Source organism: Homo sapiens, chromosome 18, assembly GCF_000001405.40.
Source record: "Homo sapiens chromosome 18, GRCh38.p14 Primary Assembly".
NCBI lineage: Eukaryota > Metazoa > Chordata > Mammalia > Primates > Hominidae > Homo > Homo sapiens.
The window spans coordinates 12,331,764-12,344,626 of NC_000018.10; the positions used below are offsets into that span (position 1 = coordinate 12,331,764).

The 12,863-nt window shown below is 43.0% G+C and overlaps 1 protein-coding gene and 1 long non-coding RNA gene across 4 annotated transcripts in view, besides 2 other annotated features; one reads left to right on the forward strand and one right to left on the reverse strand.

Moving 5' to 3' along the window:
- AFG3L2 (AFG3 like matrix AAA peptidase subunit 2) overlaps positions 1 to 12,863 on the reverse strand; it is a 48,284-nt gene that overhangs the window by 2,820 nt on the left and 32,601 nt on the right. The window contains exons 14-16 of one of the 2 annotated variants that reach the window (NM_006796.3): positions 12,369 to 12,484; positions 8,438 to 8,638; positions 5,578 to 5,772 (exon numbers count right to left, since the gene is read on the reverse strand). In NM_006796.3, coding sequence (NP_006787.2) covers positions 5,578 to 5,772; positions 8,438 to 8,638; positions 12,369 to 12,484 — 512 coding nt within the window. The remainder of the gene's footprint in view (positions 1 to 5,577; positions 5,773 to 8,437; positions 8,639 to 12,368; positions 12,485 to 12,863) is intronic. The other variant, XM_011525601.4, reaches the window with a different exon arrangement.
- Positions 1,849 to 12,560, forward strand: LOC107985154 (uncharacterized). 2 transcript variants are annotated; one of them, XR_002958227.2, is made up of 2 exons: positions 1,849 to 5,139; positions 12,286 to 12,560. It is a non-coding gene; the product is annotated as an uncharacterized LOC107985154 (long non-coding RNA). The 2 variants fall into 2 exon arrangements; XR_001753363.2 differs by lacking the exon at positions 1,849 to 5,139 and adding an exon at positions 6,037 to 6,817.
- Positions 2,433 to 3,288: an enhancer, noted in NCBI's record as "OCT4-NANOG-H3K27ac-H3K4me1 hESC enhancer chr18:12334195-12335050 (GRCh37/hg19 assembly coordinates)". NCBI's record gives its function as "activates a minimal SCP1, AML or CMV promoter by ChIP-STARR-seq in naive H9 embryonic stem cells {active_cell/tissue: H9 hESC(naive)}" and the evidence as "EXISTENCE:reporter gene assay evidence [ECO:0000049][PMID:30033119]".
- Positions 4,147 to 5,002: an enhancer, noted in NCBI's record as "OCT4-NANOG-H3K27ac-H3K4me1 hESC enhancer chr18:12335909-12336764 (GRCh37/hg19 assembly coordinates)". NCBI's record gives its function as "activates a minimal SCP1, AML or CMV promoter by ChIP-STARR-seq in naive and primed H9 embryonic stem cells {active_cell/tissue: H9 hESC(naive and primed)}" and the evidence as "EXISTENCE:reporter gene assay evidence [ECO:0000049][PMID:30033119]".

A 12,863-nucleotide genomic window follows, 5' to 3' on the forward strand; every position in this document is an offset into this window, starting at 1 on the left:
AGCCTGGGCAACAGAGGGAGAGTCTGTCTAAAAGTAAATAAATAAATATATATATATATATATATATATATATATATATATATATATATATATATATAAAACAAGGGCAGAGATACAAAATGAAGGCAGGAAGGTTAATGTGACAGTAGTTTACTTTGAAGTTCTATTCATTTGTTACAGCTGGACCATAAATTTGACATTACACGTTTTAACAGCCTACAGAAAAAGGGACCCCTACCGGAGTACACACATGGAAGTGTGACGGTATCATGAGAAGAGGGAACAGTGTTTATGTTAGATCATATACCTAGTGTAAAGAAAATTAAGCAGTTTAAATTATAAGTTGATCTCATAAAATGATTTTTTTTTTTTTTTTTTGAGACAGAGTCTTGTTCTGTCACCCAGGCTGGAGTACAATGGCGCGATGTTGGCTCACTGCAACCTCCGCCTCCCAGGTTCAAGTGATTCTCCTGCCTCAGCCTCCCCAGTAGTTGGGATTACAGGCGTCCACCACCACGCCCAGCTAACTTTTTGTATTTTAAGTAGAGATGGGGTTTCACCATGTTGGCCAGGCTAGTCTCAAACTCAGCCCCTCAAAGTACTGGGATTACAGGGATAAGCCACTGCACCTGGCCAGACTTATTTCTTGAGATAACTCCTTACTCTGAAATTTAATCTATTTGTAGTTTGCAATAAATGTTATGTTTTTAAAGATATAAAATTATGAAAGTTTTGTCTTTTCAGTTTTTAAAAATTTTATTATAAAATGCTTCAAATAGGTACAAAAGTGGAAAGAATGGATAATCCCCATGTAACCACTATCAACAGTGATCAATTTAGAAACATTCTTGTTTCAGCTCTCTAGATTATTTTTAAGAAAATCCCAGATGTCATATCATTTTATCCATATATATATATATATTTTTTGTCTATATCTCTAAAAGATTAGGATTGTTTAGAAAACCAGAATACTATAATGCTCTGATTTTAAAAATATATTGTCTGCATATACGTAAGGGAAAAAAGCTTTAGGATTCATTCTTAGGCCATTTTTAATTCTCAATTTGCTTATACACACACACACACACACACCATAGTTGTGGGTGATCACTTACATTTCAATAATTTAATCCAATATATAAAAAATATATATTATATATAACATATACTATATAACATATAATATATTATATACTATAATATATTATATATTATATAAATATATTATATAAATTATATATAATATAAAATATATTAATAATATATAAAAATATATAATCTATTATATAATAGATTATAATCTATTATATAACTATTATATAATAGATTATAATCTATTATATAACTATTATATAATAGATTATATATATAATATATATAATATATAATAATCTAATATATATAATAATAGATAATATAATAAATAATATATATAATAATCTAATATATAATCTATTATATAAATATATGATATATAATTATATAAATATATAGATTATATATTATAAATATAGATTATATATAATATATAAATATATATTATATATTATAAATATATAATATATAAAATTATATATATAATATATAATTATATATATATATTTTTTCCCCCTGAAACAGGGTCTCACTTGTCACCCAGGCTGGAATGCAGTGACGTGATCACAGCTCACTGTAGCCTCTAGCCTCAACTTCCTGGGCTCAGGTGATCCTCCCATCTCAGCCTCCAAGTAGCTGGGACTACAGATGCACACCACCATGCCGGGCTAATTTTTTATATTTTTAGTACAAACAGGGTTTCACCATGTTGCCCAGGCTAGTCTCGAATTCCTGGGCTCAAGTGATCCACCCACCTCAGCCTCCCAAAGTGCTGGGATTATAGACATGTGCCACAGTTCTTGGCCAAAATATTATTTCAACATGTGACGACACAAAACATGATTGAGGTTTTTTTACATTCCTTTCTTCATGCTGAATCTTCAGTAACCAGCATGCACTTGACATTTAACAGTTCTCGATTCACAGCGGCCACCAAGTGCTCGGCAGCCCTCCGCAGCTGCCTTACAGGGCCACACAGGCTCAGGGAGAGGGGAACGACCAGGGCTCTGCAGGCAGGACACCTGGGTCAGACCCTGGCTGTGCTGCTTACCCACTGTATGACCCTAAGCAAAGCTACCTGACCTCTCTCTGTTAACAGCTTCTTCACCTGAAACTGATGTAAGAGGTCACTAATGTTAGCCACCTCATGAGGTCACAGGGTTTTCAGAAAGGAACCCTCAGGCAGTGCCTGGTACACAGGTGTTGGGTGAATGCTGGCAAGCCCTCAGGTACACACTCCCTGCCCTCGCAGAGTCTGGAAGGCAATGGTTTCAGGAGCACAGGCCCTAGCCCCTCTCTTCTCCATAGCCTCCCTACCTCCTGGCTGGCTCTGCAGTATTCTGCACGTGGCTCATTCTCTCTGATGGACCAGAAAGTACTTCAAAACTGTCCAGTGTTTCAAGAGCCTCACCATGCTAACCCAATTCTCCTTTCAATAAACAGACCTTAGTTGTGCAGCGTGAGTCGTGTGAGTACAGACACTGAGACTGTGGATGGGTGGGAGAACTGGGGAGATTCTCACATCACTGCAGACCTCCTCAGTGCCTCACAGAGGGCTCATCTGGACTGGGCTCTTCTGCATTCCTGTCTTTCACAGCTCAACACCTGGCTATCTGGCAGCCCTGACCTCTGTTCATATTCTGATTGCAAATGCGCCTTGCTCAAATCCTCTTGGGTGTTGAGACCAAACCGTTTATCACTCCCTTTCCTCCCCCTGCCCAGGGATGCCTTGGAGTCATTCTTGGGCTTTCTTCTCTTTTGTTCTCTATGAAGTCTTGGTTTTACAGCTCTGCCTTTGCCTTTTTATTTTCATGGCCACCCCTGCAGGCACCACCTGAGGAGTGCTGAGATGCCCCCACTGCTTCCAAGCTGGTCTGGTCTGTGTTCCTGTTCCAATCCAGCTGGCATGCTGCCACCACACTCTCCTGAAATGATCTTTTCATCATTTCTGCTCAAGATTCTTTAAGGACTCCTTTAAGAACTACTACAAAATAAGGAGGCTGGGTTAGATCATTTTTAAGATCACTTCTACTTCTAAAGCTGTGTGCCTCAACTTTCTACCTAGCTCTGGAGGGCCTGGGACTTATGAAAGGAAAATAAAATCTCGGGACCCTAAACGCATTATGCCAAGGGGAAAAGTTAAGCTTGGAAACTGAGTTGCACAAGAGCTGCCTTCCTATTGTTCCTAAAGAGATGGCTGCAAAGACAGAAACCATTTATCTCCCCAGGTGGCCTCCCTCACTCATTGCTCACAAGGAGATTCCTTGTGGGCCCTAAAACCTTTACCCTGAAACAAAGTTCTGCTGGATCTCACCCTGACAATGTAAGTTAACAGCTTATCTCACAGGAATGGACAAAGACCAGACCAGAAATCATCCCTCTGCCAACCTGAGACAAATGTGTATTTGACTCTTTCTTCTACTCTATGTTTACTTTATTGCATGTAAAATGAGGATTTACTGAACAAGAGATGCATGCGTAACTGACATCCCTCTACTCCTCCTTTCACATGTCACATGTGGATTCAATGGGCAAAAATCAAGAATGCGACCACTCACCTTCACCACCTACCCTCCCCTTTTCTCCCTTCCTCCTTCCCTTCCTGCCACTCTTTCCCCTTTAAATATTCAAGCCCTCGAAGCTCTCTCTGGAAAAAGCAGGGACCACAGATCCCCTGTAACTGGTGTTTCTTTTTCCCTGGGTACATCCTCAACCTTGACGAAACAAACCTCTAAGCTGACAGAGATCTGTCTCAGCCACTCTTGGGTCTACAGGGTCCACCACCTGCAAGTGCAGCAGGCTCAGGGCTGCCCCCGGGCTCCACGCCGCACACTCTTCCTTCCCCTTCCTTCAGCTCTATGACCTGCTCATCCTTCTGGGTACCTCGGCCCTATCTCCTGCAGAGCCGTCCTGGACCACTCTGCCCATGCTGGCCTTTTCTTCCTCAGAGCCCTGCTGCATGCTTTCCAGTGTTTTGGGGATGCTGGTGCTCACTCATTTCACTGCACACTTTTGTGCACCGACAGCATGGATTCTTCTGAAGTCTAACATAGGGGTTATAGTCGGCTTCTTGAAGACTTGCTGATTGAACAGCATAATCTTAGTGAAGCTGCCTTTGCAAAATTATAACAGCAAGAGAAATTTGGCATGGCTGACTCCATCTTGCTTCTAGCCTCACACACTGTCCTCACTTGTTCCCGGGTGTGGGCCAAGCTAGCTTCGGGAGGAATTTATAGTTTAAATGATAATAGCACTTCCCCAAAACTAAACTACCCTTGTAAAACTAATGAAAGGCCACCAAATTAGGAGGATAAGAGGAGACTGCATTCTACTAAGATGTAGGCATGGTTAAATAATTACCAGCCATTATTATGGAGGTCAGATTTGCAACTTCCCCAATTACTCCTACAGATAACATCTACTGTAAAACTTAGGCTTGGCCTTTTGCGATAGCTTTTCAGCTTTTTGCATTTCTGACAACCAATGGCTCCACCTGGACTTACCAACTGGTCCTGTGGCCCCACTCAGAAACTGACTCAGCACAGGAGGATAGCTTCCATGCCCTATGATTTCACCTCTGCCCCAACCAACCAGCCAGCATTCCTCACTCCCTGGCCCTTACCTGCCAAACTATCCTTGAAAAACCCTGGTCTCCAAGGAGACCGATTTGAGTAATAATAAAACTCCAGGCTGCCATTCAGCCAGCTCTGCATGAATTAAGCTCTTTCTCTACTGCAATTCCCCTGTCTTGAGAAACTGGCTGTACCTGGGCAGCAGGCAAAATAAATCTATTAGGCAGTTGTGTCAATCCCTTATAAAAGGCTTTTACATTTGTGTTTTTCTCATTACAGTATAGAATATTCAAAGTTTTTTTTAATTCTAATTTTTTTCACATGGACTCTGGAAAATTAAGAAGTTACCAAATGCAAGAAATCCACTGAGTTCAGAAAGGGTCCCTTCCTTTTGTAGGTGCTATCAAATGAGGTACAACAACGACAAACACAATGCTTTCTTGTGGAAGTTCATGAGCAAGCCACAAGCAAGGTAACTTTCACGTACCAATTTCCTACTTAGCAGTTTGGCTGCTTCTTTTACTTGCCCTTTCATCTTTCACTACCTATTTATTTTAGAGGTGAAACACAATGGTAAACCAGGCAATCATGCTTCTCATTAGGAGTACTGTGAACTATCTGGTGAGGGAGAGTCCTGATTTGTTTACTTTGTGGTTACTGACAGACTTCATTAATCATTCAGTCACATTCCTAAGAGCCACAGGAGCCGGGACAGTGTCAACTTCTGCTCACCACATTGCAACCCCCGCTTGAAGACAGAGCAGACAACGAAACATCAGAACGAACGGACCCATGGGTGAGCCAGAGAGAGGGAATTCTGCAGTCTACACACCAACCAAAACAGTCTATCTATCACTTCAATCTTTTTTTTGCAAAACTGTAAAGAATTATTCCCACAACTGGCACCTACCTTCTCCACGTCAGCTTTCTTTTCTGTGAGAAGAGCTACTGTTCTTTTATAAGCATCATTAATAAGTATTCGTACTTCATCATCTATCAATCTTGCAGTGGCTTCACTGTAAGGTTTCTCCAATACCATGTCCCCCTGACGTGGGAGGTCAAAGGAGATTTGCCCAACCTTTTCATTCATGCCAAACTGAACAATCTGAAAAATACATAATTAGTGGTGATTACATATGATTGTTCTTTAACCAGACAAAATCTACACAGCAGCCTGGAGCCGGCTAAAGTGCACAAAGGTGCTCTGTGTAGCCAGCAGCAGCAGCAGCAGCAGCACAGTGCTTTAAACTCATGACTAGAAACACAGAGCCAGAAGCCCAGGCATAACACCTACAACAAAGTTAGGACGCAAATCCCAACTGTATGATATTATTACCTGATTTCTCTCTTTTTTTTTTAGACAGAGTCTTGGTCTGTTGCCCAGGCTATAGTGCAGTGGCACCATCTTGGCTCACTGCAACCTCCACATCCCGAGTTCAAGCGATTCTCGAGCCTCAGCCTCCCAAGCAGCTGGGATTATAGGCACCTGCCACCACTCCCGGCTAATTTTTGTATTTTTAATAGAGACGGGTTTTTGTCATGTTGGCCAGGCTGGTCTTGAACTCCTGACCTCAGGTGATCTGCCCGCTTCGGCCTCCCAAAGTGCTGGGATTACGGGCATGAGCCCAGCCACTACCTGGTTTCTTTTTGTTTTTGTTTTGAGACAGGGTCTTGTTCTGTCGCCCAGGCTGGAATGCAGTGCATGATCATAGCTCACTGCAGCTTTGACCTTCTGGGCTCAAATTATCCTCCCACTTCAGCTTCCCAAAGTGCTGGGATTACAGGTATGAGCCACCGTGCCCAGCCTGATATTACTATCTGCACAAGAGAAAGTAGAGAAGCAGCAAGAAGCATCTGATAGACCTGAAGAAACAAGAACCCCCAGCTGCCAACAGGTTCTTCCCAGAAGGATGGCATGCCACTCACGCTGAGAACATGTGAGACCAGAAGGGCAACTGCATTTCCCCGTTCACTGAGTCCATGGGGCCCAGGGAACAGTCTGAAGAAGCTGATCCAGTCTGGACCCATGAGCCCCCAAAACTAACCAGCACCACAAAGGAGGAGGCTTCTGCAAGTAAGACCCAAACTCACTGGAAAAAAGAGAAGGCCCAGATAAGAGTGGGGATCAAACAGCCAGGGATGCTTGGAAGGTAGGAAACCACATTCCTAACATTTCATGAATACAGTCAGAAAAGCTCCTAGACCTCCTCCCACCTAAGAGAGCAGCAGAACAAATTTCATGTAAAAATAGGCAATAGAAAAATCCCTTATAAAGTTATTATAAGAAAAAAATAAGCTGAATAGTTTCTCCAGAGATAAGAAAAGTGGGATGAAAAGACGTGTCAATATTAAGAGGAAATCCGTATCTTCTTATTTCAAAACAGGCTAAAAGAAATCAGGGAAATGACATATGATATGAAAGATCTACTTAAATCAGAACTAGAAAAGCTTCAATGAGGTGCTAGAGAAAAAATACATATCAAAGCCACCACGCCCAGCCTGAAATAAACTTTAAATACTGTACTAAAAAAAGGTTTCTCGGGGCCGGGCACGGTGGCTCACGCCTGTAATCCCAGCACTTTGGCAGGCCAAGGCGGGCGGATCACCAGGTCAGGAGACAAGACCATCCTGGCTAACACAGTGAAATGCCTGCCTCTACTAAAGATACAAAAAATTAGCCAGGAGTGGTGGCGGGCACTACTTGGGAGGCTGAGGCAGGAGAATGGCGTGAACCTGGCAGGCGGAGCTTGCAGTGTGCCCAGATGGCGCCACTGCACTCCAGCCTGGGCGACCGAGACTCTGTCTCAAAAAAAAAAAAAAAAAAAAAAAAAAGGTTTCTCAGCCAAGCACAGCGGCTCATGCCTGTAATCCCAGTGCTTTGAGAGGCCGAGGCGGGCGGATCACCTGAGGTCAGGAGTTCAAGACCAGCCTGACCAACATGGAGAAACCCCGTCTCTACTAAAAATACAAAACTAGCCAGGCGTGGTGGCACATGAATGTAATCCCAGCTACTCAAGAGGCTGAGGCAGGAGAATTGCTTGAACCCAGGAGGCAGAGGTTGTGGTGAGCCGAGATCGCACCATTGCACTCCAGCCTGGGCAACAAGAGCAAAACTCCAGATCAAAAAAAAAAAAAAACAAAAAAGCTGGGCGCAGTGGCTCACGCCTGTAATCCCAGCACTTTGGGAGGCTGGAGGATCACAAGGTCAGGAGATAAGACCATCCTGGCTAACACGGTGAAACCCTGTCTCTACTAAAAATACAAAAAAATCAGCCAGGCGTGGTGGTGGGCGCCTGTAACCCCAGCTCCTCAGGAGACTGAGGCAGAAGAATGGTGTGAACCTGGGAGGCAGAGCTTGCAGTGAGCCGAGATTGCACCACTGCACTCCAGCCTGGGCAAGAGTGCGAGGCTCAGTCTCAAAAAAAAAAAAAAAAAAAAAATTAGCCACATGTGGTGGCGCATGCCTGTAATCCCAGCTACTCAGGAGGCTGAGGCAGGACAATCACTTGAACCCAGGAGGCAGAGGTTGCAGTGAGCCAAGATAGAGCCACTGCACTCCAGCCTGGGCAACAGAGGGAGACTGTGTCTCAAAAAAATAAAGTTTCTCTTCATAAGTTTTAATTGCTTTACTTCTTTTAAGAGATAATCCTTGCCTAAAAAGCCTAAAACAGTGAAGCACAACTATATTGTTTCAGAGCCATTCATAGAATGTCAATTTCTCGTGCAAATATGAATACATGAGGAGGAAATGCACTCTTTCATATACTCACTTGGGCATATGCACTCTGAGTTACTTTTCTCAAGTCATCTTGAGCACCAGTTGTAATTCTTCCAAAGAAGATTTCTTCAGAGACTCGACCACCTAAAGTCATACACATCCTATCCAAGAGCTGCTCTTTGGTATAGAGGTATTGTTCTTTTGGTAAATACTGAGCATAACCTAGTCCTTTGCCACGTGGGATGATGGATACCTGGTAAGTAGAAAACAGTGTTGAAGATCCTACTACAGATGAAGACTTGATCAAAACATCTGTGTATAAACAGATAAACTCATTGACTAAAAATAAGCACAACAGCCGCACAGTTCATCAGCCTTAGTGGGATGTGATCTAGCAGTGACTGCTCAGGAGGAGTATTTTCTCTCAGGATAAGTTCACCTTAGAGTGTTTTTTTTCTTGAGATTGAGATTGAGTCCTGCTCTGTCACCCAGGCTGGAGTGCAGTGGCACGATCTCAACTCACTGCAACCTCCACCTCCCGGGTTCAAGTGATTCTCCTGCCTCAGCCTCCTGAGTAGCTCGGATTATAAGCGCCCACCACCAGGCCTGGCTAATTTTTTATTTTTAGTAAAGAAGGGGTTTCACCATGTTGGTCAGGCTGGTCTCGAACGCCTGAGCTCGTGATCCTCCTGCCTCAGCCTCCCAAACTGCTGGGATTACAGGCGTGAGCTACCACGTCCAGCTTCACCTTAGAATTCTAAATGGCTTTTCTTTTTTTTTTTTTTTTTAAGTAAAAACAGGGTCTCACTTTGCTGCTCGGGATGGTCTTAAACTCCTGACTACAAGCAATTCCCCCACCTTGGCCTCCCAAAGTGCTAGGATTACAGGCATGCGCCACCACACCCAGCAAATTTCTTGTCTTTTTGTAAAACTCAATTGAAAGTATTCCATCTTGACATTCTGACAGTTCTGATGTTGTGCAAGCATGCAGGCTTCATTCAACTCTGCTGTCGGACGTGGCCACACCCTCCTTTGAAGGAAGAGGGGTACAGCAGGCCAAGATGCTCGGCAGCCTTTCCTTTCCAGTCCTCTTTTGCAATTAAGTAAATTCCTTTAATTTTTAAAAAATTCAGTTTATTGAGAGATGACATATATGGTAAAATGCACCCATCTGAAGTGTAGAGTTCAATGAGTTTTGACAAACATAACATCAAGCCACAATGAAGATACAGAATATTCTCATCATGCCCAGAAAGTTCCCTTGTACCCACTGGTAGGGAGTCTTTCCCTCCACACCCAACCCCAGGCAACCACAGACATGCCTTCTGTCCCTATGGATTAGTTTAGCTTCTAGAATTGCAAATAAATGAAATTGTATGGCACATACTTCATTGTTTGGCCTCTTTCCCTGTTTTTGAGATCCATAGATACTGCTGTATGTATTAATAATCATTCATTTTTACTGCTGTGTGGCACTCCACTGCTACAAACATACCAAATATCCATTTCATTCTTGATGGAAGTCAGGGTTATTTTCAGTTTATTGATATTATACATAAAGTAGTAACAGTCCTTGCATGGACATAGGTTTTTATTTCTCTTGGGGAAATAAAAGTTGAATTGTTTGGTCACATGGAAGTGTTCGTCTACCTTAATAAGAAACTGCCAAACTGTTTTCCAAAACAATGGTACCATTTTACATTCCCTATTTTTGTTTTTGGCAGAGCTTCATTCTGTCCCCCAGGCTGGAGTGCAGTGGCACGACTGCTGCTTACTGTAGCCTCCGCCTCTTGGGTTCAAGTGATCCTCCCCATCTCCAGTGATTCTCCTGCCTCAGTCTCCTGAGTAGCTGGGATTATAGGCGTTCACCATCATGTCTGGCTAATTTTTCTATTTTTAGTAGAGACAGGTTTCGCCACGTTAGCCAGGCTGGTCTCAAACTCCTAACCTCAAGTGATCCGCCTGCCTCGGCGTCCCAAAGTGCTGGGATTACAGGCATGAGCCACTGTACCCGGCCCCATTTTACATTCCTATCAATAACGTGTGAGCGTTTCAACTGCTCCATATCCTTATCAACAATGAAGACTGTCTCTTCTTCATTTTAACCATTCTAGCAAGTATGTTCAGGTAGCTCATGGGTGAATTTGCATGTCCCTGATAAATAATGATACCCTGTGTGTGCTTAATGCCCACTCATATACCTTCTGGGAAATGCATGTTTAAATCTTTCGCCCATTGTTTTACTGGGTTGTTTTCTTATTATTGAGTTCTAAGAGTTCTTTACAGGTTCTAGAAATAAGTCCTTTGTCCTGTATATGTACTGCATGTATTTTTGGAGGGCGTGGCTTGCCTTTTTATTTTCTTAACTGTCTTTCAAAGAAAGAGAGTTTGAAATTTTGATGAGATCCCACCTATCAACGTTTTCTTTTGTGGCTCATGCTTTTTGTGTCCCAAGAAATTTTTGCATGGTCAAGGCCACAGAGATTTTTCCCTGTATTTTCTCCTAGAAGTTTGATGGTTTTAGTTCTTATGACCTGTTTCAAATAATTTTTTGCATATGATGCAAGGGTTAACGTTCACCATTTTTCCTGTGAATACTCTGTTGCCAGAACCACCTGTAGATAAGACAATTCCTCCCCCTTGAATTATCCTGGTACCTCTGTGAACCAAAAGTTTGTGGTTCACTTTCCGGGCTCCATTCCACCCCACTGGCCTGCGTGCCAGTCCTCTTACCAGCACTACACTCTCATCACTGTAGCTGCACAGTCTTAATACTGGGATGAGTAACTTACTGTTTTGGCTACTCTTACTCATTTGTATTTCCATATCGGTTTTAGATTCAGCTTCTCAATTTCCACAAAAAAAAAAAATCTGCTATAATTACCAGAGATTGCACTGAAATTATCAATTAGTTTTGGGAGAACTGATGTAACACTCCATGAGCAAAGTCCACCTCTATTTTTATTTAGGGCTTGTTATCAATGTGCATGTCCTACAAATATTTTCTTAAATTTATTCCTCCATATTTCGAGTTTTTAGATGCTACTGAAATTGCTAATGAAATTGAATTTTTAAAATTTCATTTTCCAATTGTTTATTGCTAATACACAGAAATACAATTGGTCTTTGTATACTGACCTTGAATTCTTCAACCTTGCTAACTTTACTTATTAGTTCTAGTGGGTTCTCTGTGGGTTCCTTAGGATGTTTTATGGACACTCTAATGTTGTCTTCTCTATGGTTCCCTTGCTTCAGGGGACCCCCACACCCCTGGCCCGCCTCAATTCCCAGCAGCCCTGATACCCATCGCAAGGCAGGGAGGCAGCTGCTTTCTGTCATCTGTGCTGCAGCAGTTCGGGAAATGCCTCAGTTGAAAAGCAAAAAACTTAAAAATCTCACATGGTTCCCCCGTCTTTCAGGGGTAGATTTCTCTTTGGTCTCTGCTTACCCTTTTGCCAGGTTCTCTGGGATTGCCACTGTGCATGTGTAGTTTAGTTGTCGGCCTGAGATTTGGGCAGTTCCTGCTCAGATTCGGGCCTCACCACTTGGTAGTTTTCTTGCTTCTGGGATTTTCCTGTTAAATTTCCAGTATTCTTTAAGTCCTGGACTATCTCCTCTACCACCTCAGGATAATAAAGACTATGTCTCATACCACTGTAGTGTGGAGATTATGAAAAACCCTTTGGCAAGAAAGCCACAGGCTCCCAGTTCAAACCCACTGCAACTGCTGCTTTATAGGAGCAAACTCTCCAGCTCTCGCCTGCTTTTGGACACTCTGTGGTCCCTTTAAATAATTTTCTGTCCAAATTTTATATTTATCTATGGGACGGTTTGTGCAACTATGGTTACCAGAAGTTACCAGAAGTTTTGGCTAAAGCCTTGTTTCTTTCTCCTTTGCAGGAGTGTAGCTTGCTTCTTGAGTGACTGCAGCGAGCATCTGCTCACCCATGCACTGGCTGCCTAGTGCAGCTACCCTGCTTCACCTTTAAAAGCGGGTCTGCGTGCTCCAGATACCAGCCGGCAACCGCATGGCCTGCTTCGTGGTATGCCACAGTCTTCTTCTCCTCAGGCTGCAGAACCTGCGTTTTCTTCTCTAAGCCTAACAAAATAACAACAAAAAAACCCAAGCCATTGTTACAGTGACACTGACATTAAAAGACAGTTATACAGTGCTATACATTGCCTTACCTAAAATGGGGTTTGGAGACTGAGCTGCCTATCACAATCCAAAAATTCCTAATCAAGGCCAGGCGCAGTGGCTCATGCCTGTAATCCCAGCACTTTGGGAGGCTGAGGTGGTCCAATCACTTGAGGTGAGGAGTTCGAGACCAGCCTGGCCAACATGGTGAAACCCCGTCTCTACTAAAAATACAAAATTAGCCAGGCGTCGTGGTGAGCGCCTGTACTCCCAGCTGCTAGGGAGGCTGGGGCAGGAGAATCACTTGAACCCAGGAGGCGGAGGTTGCAGTGAACTGAGA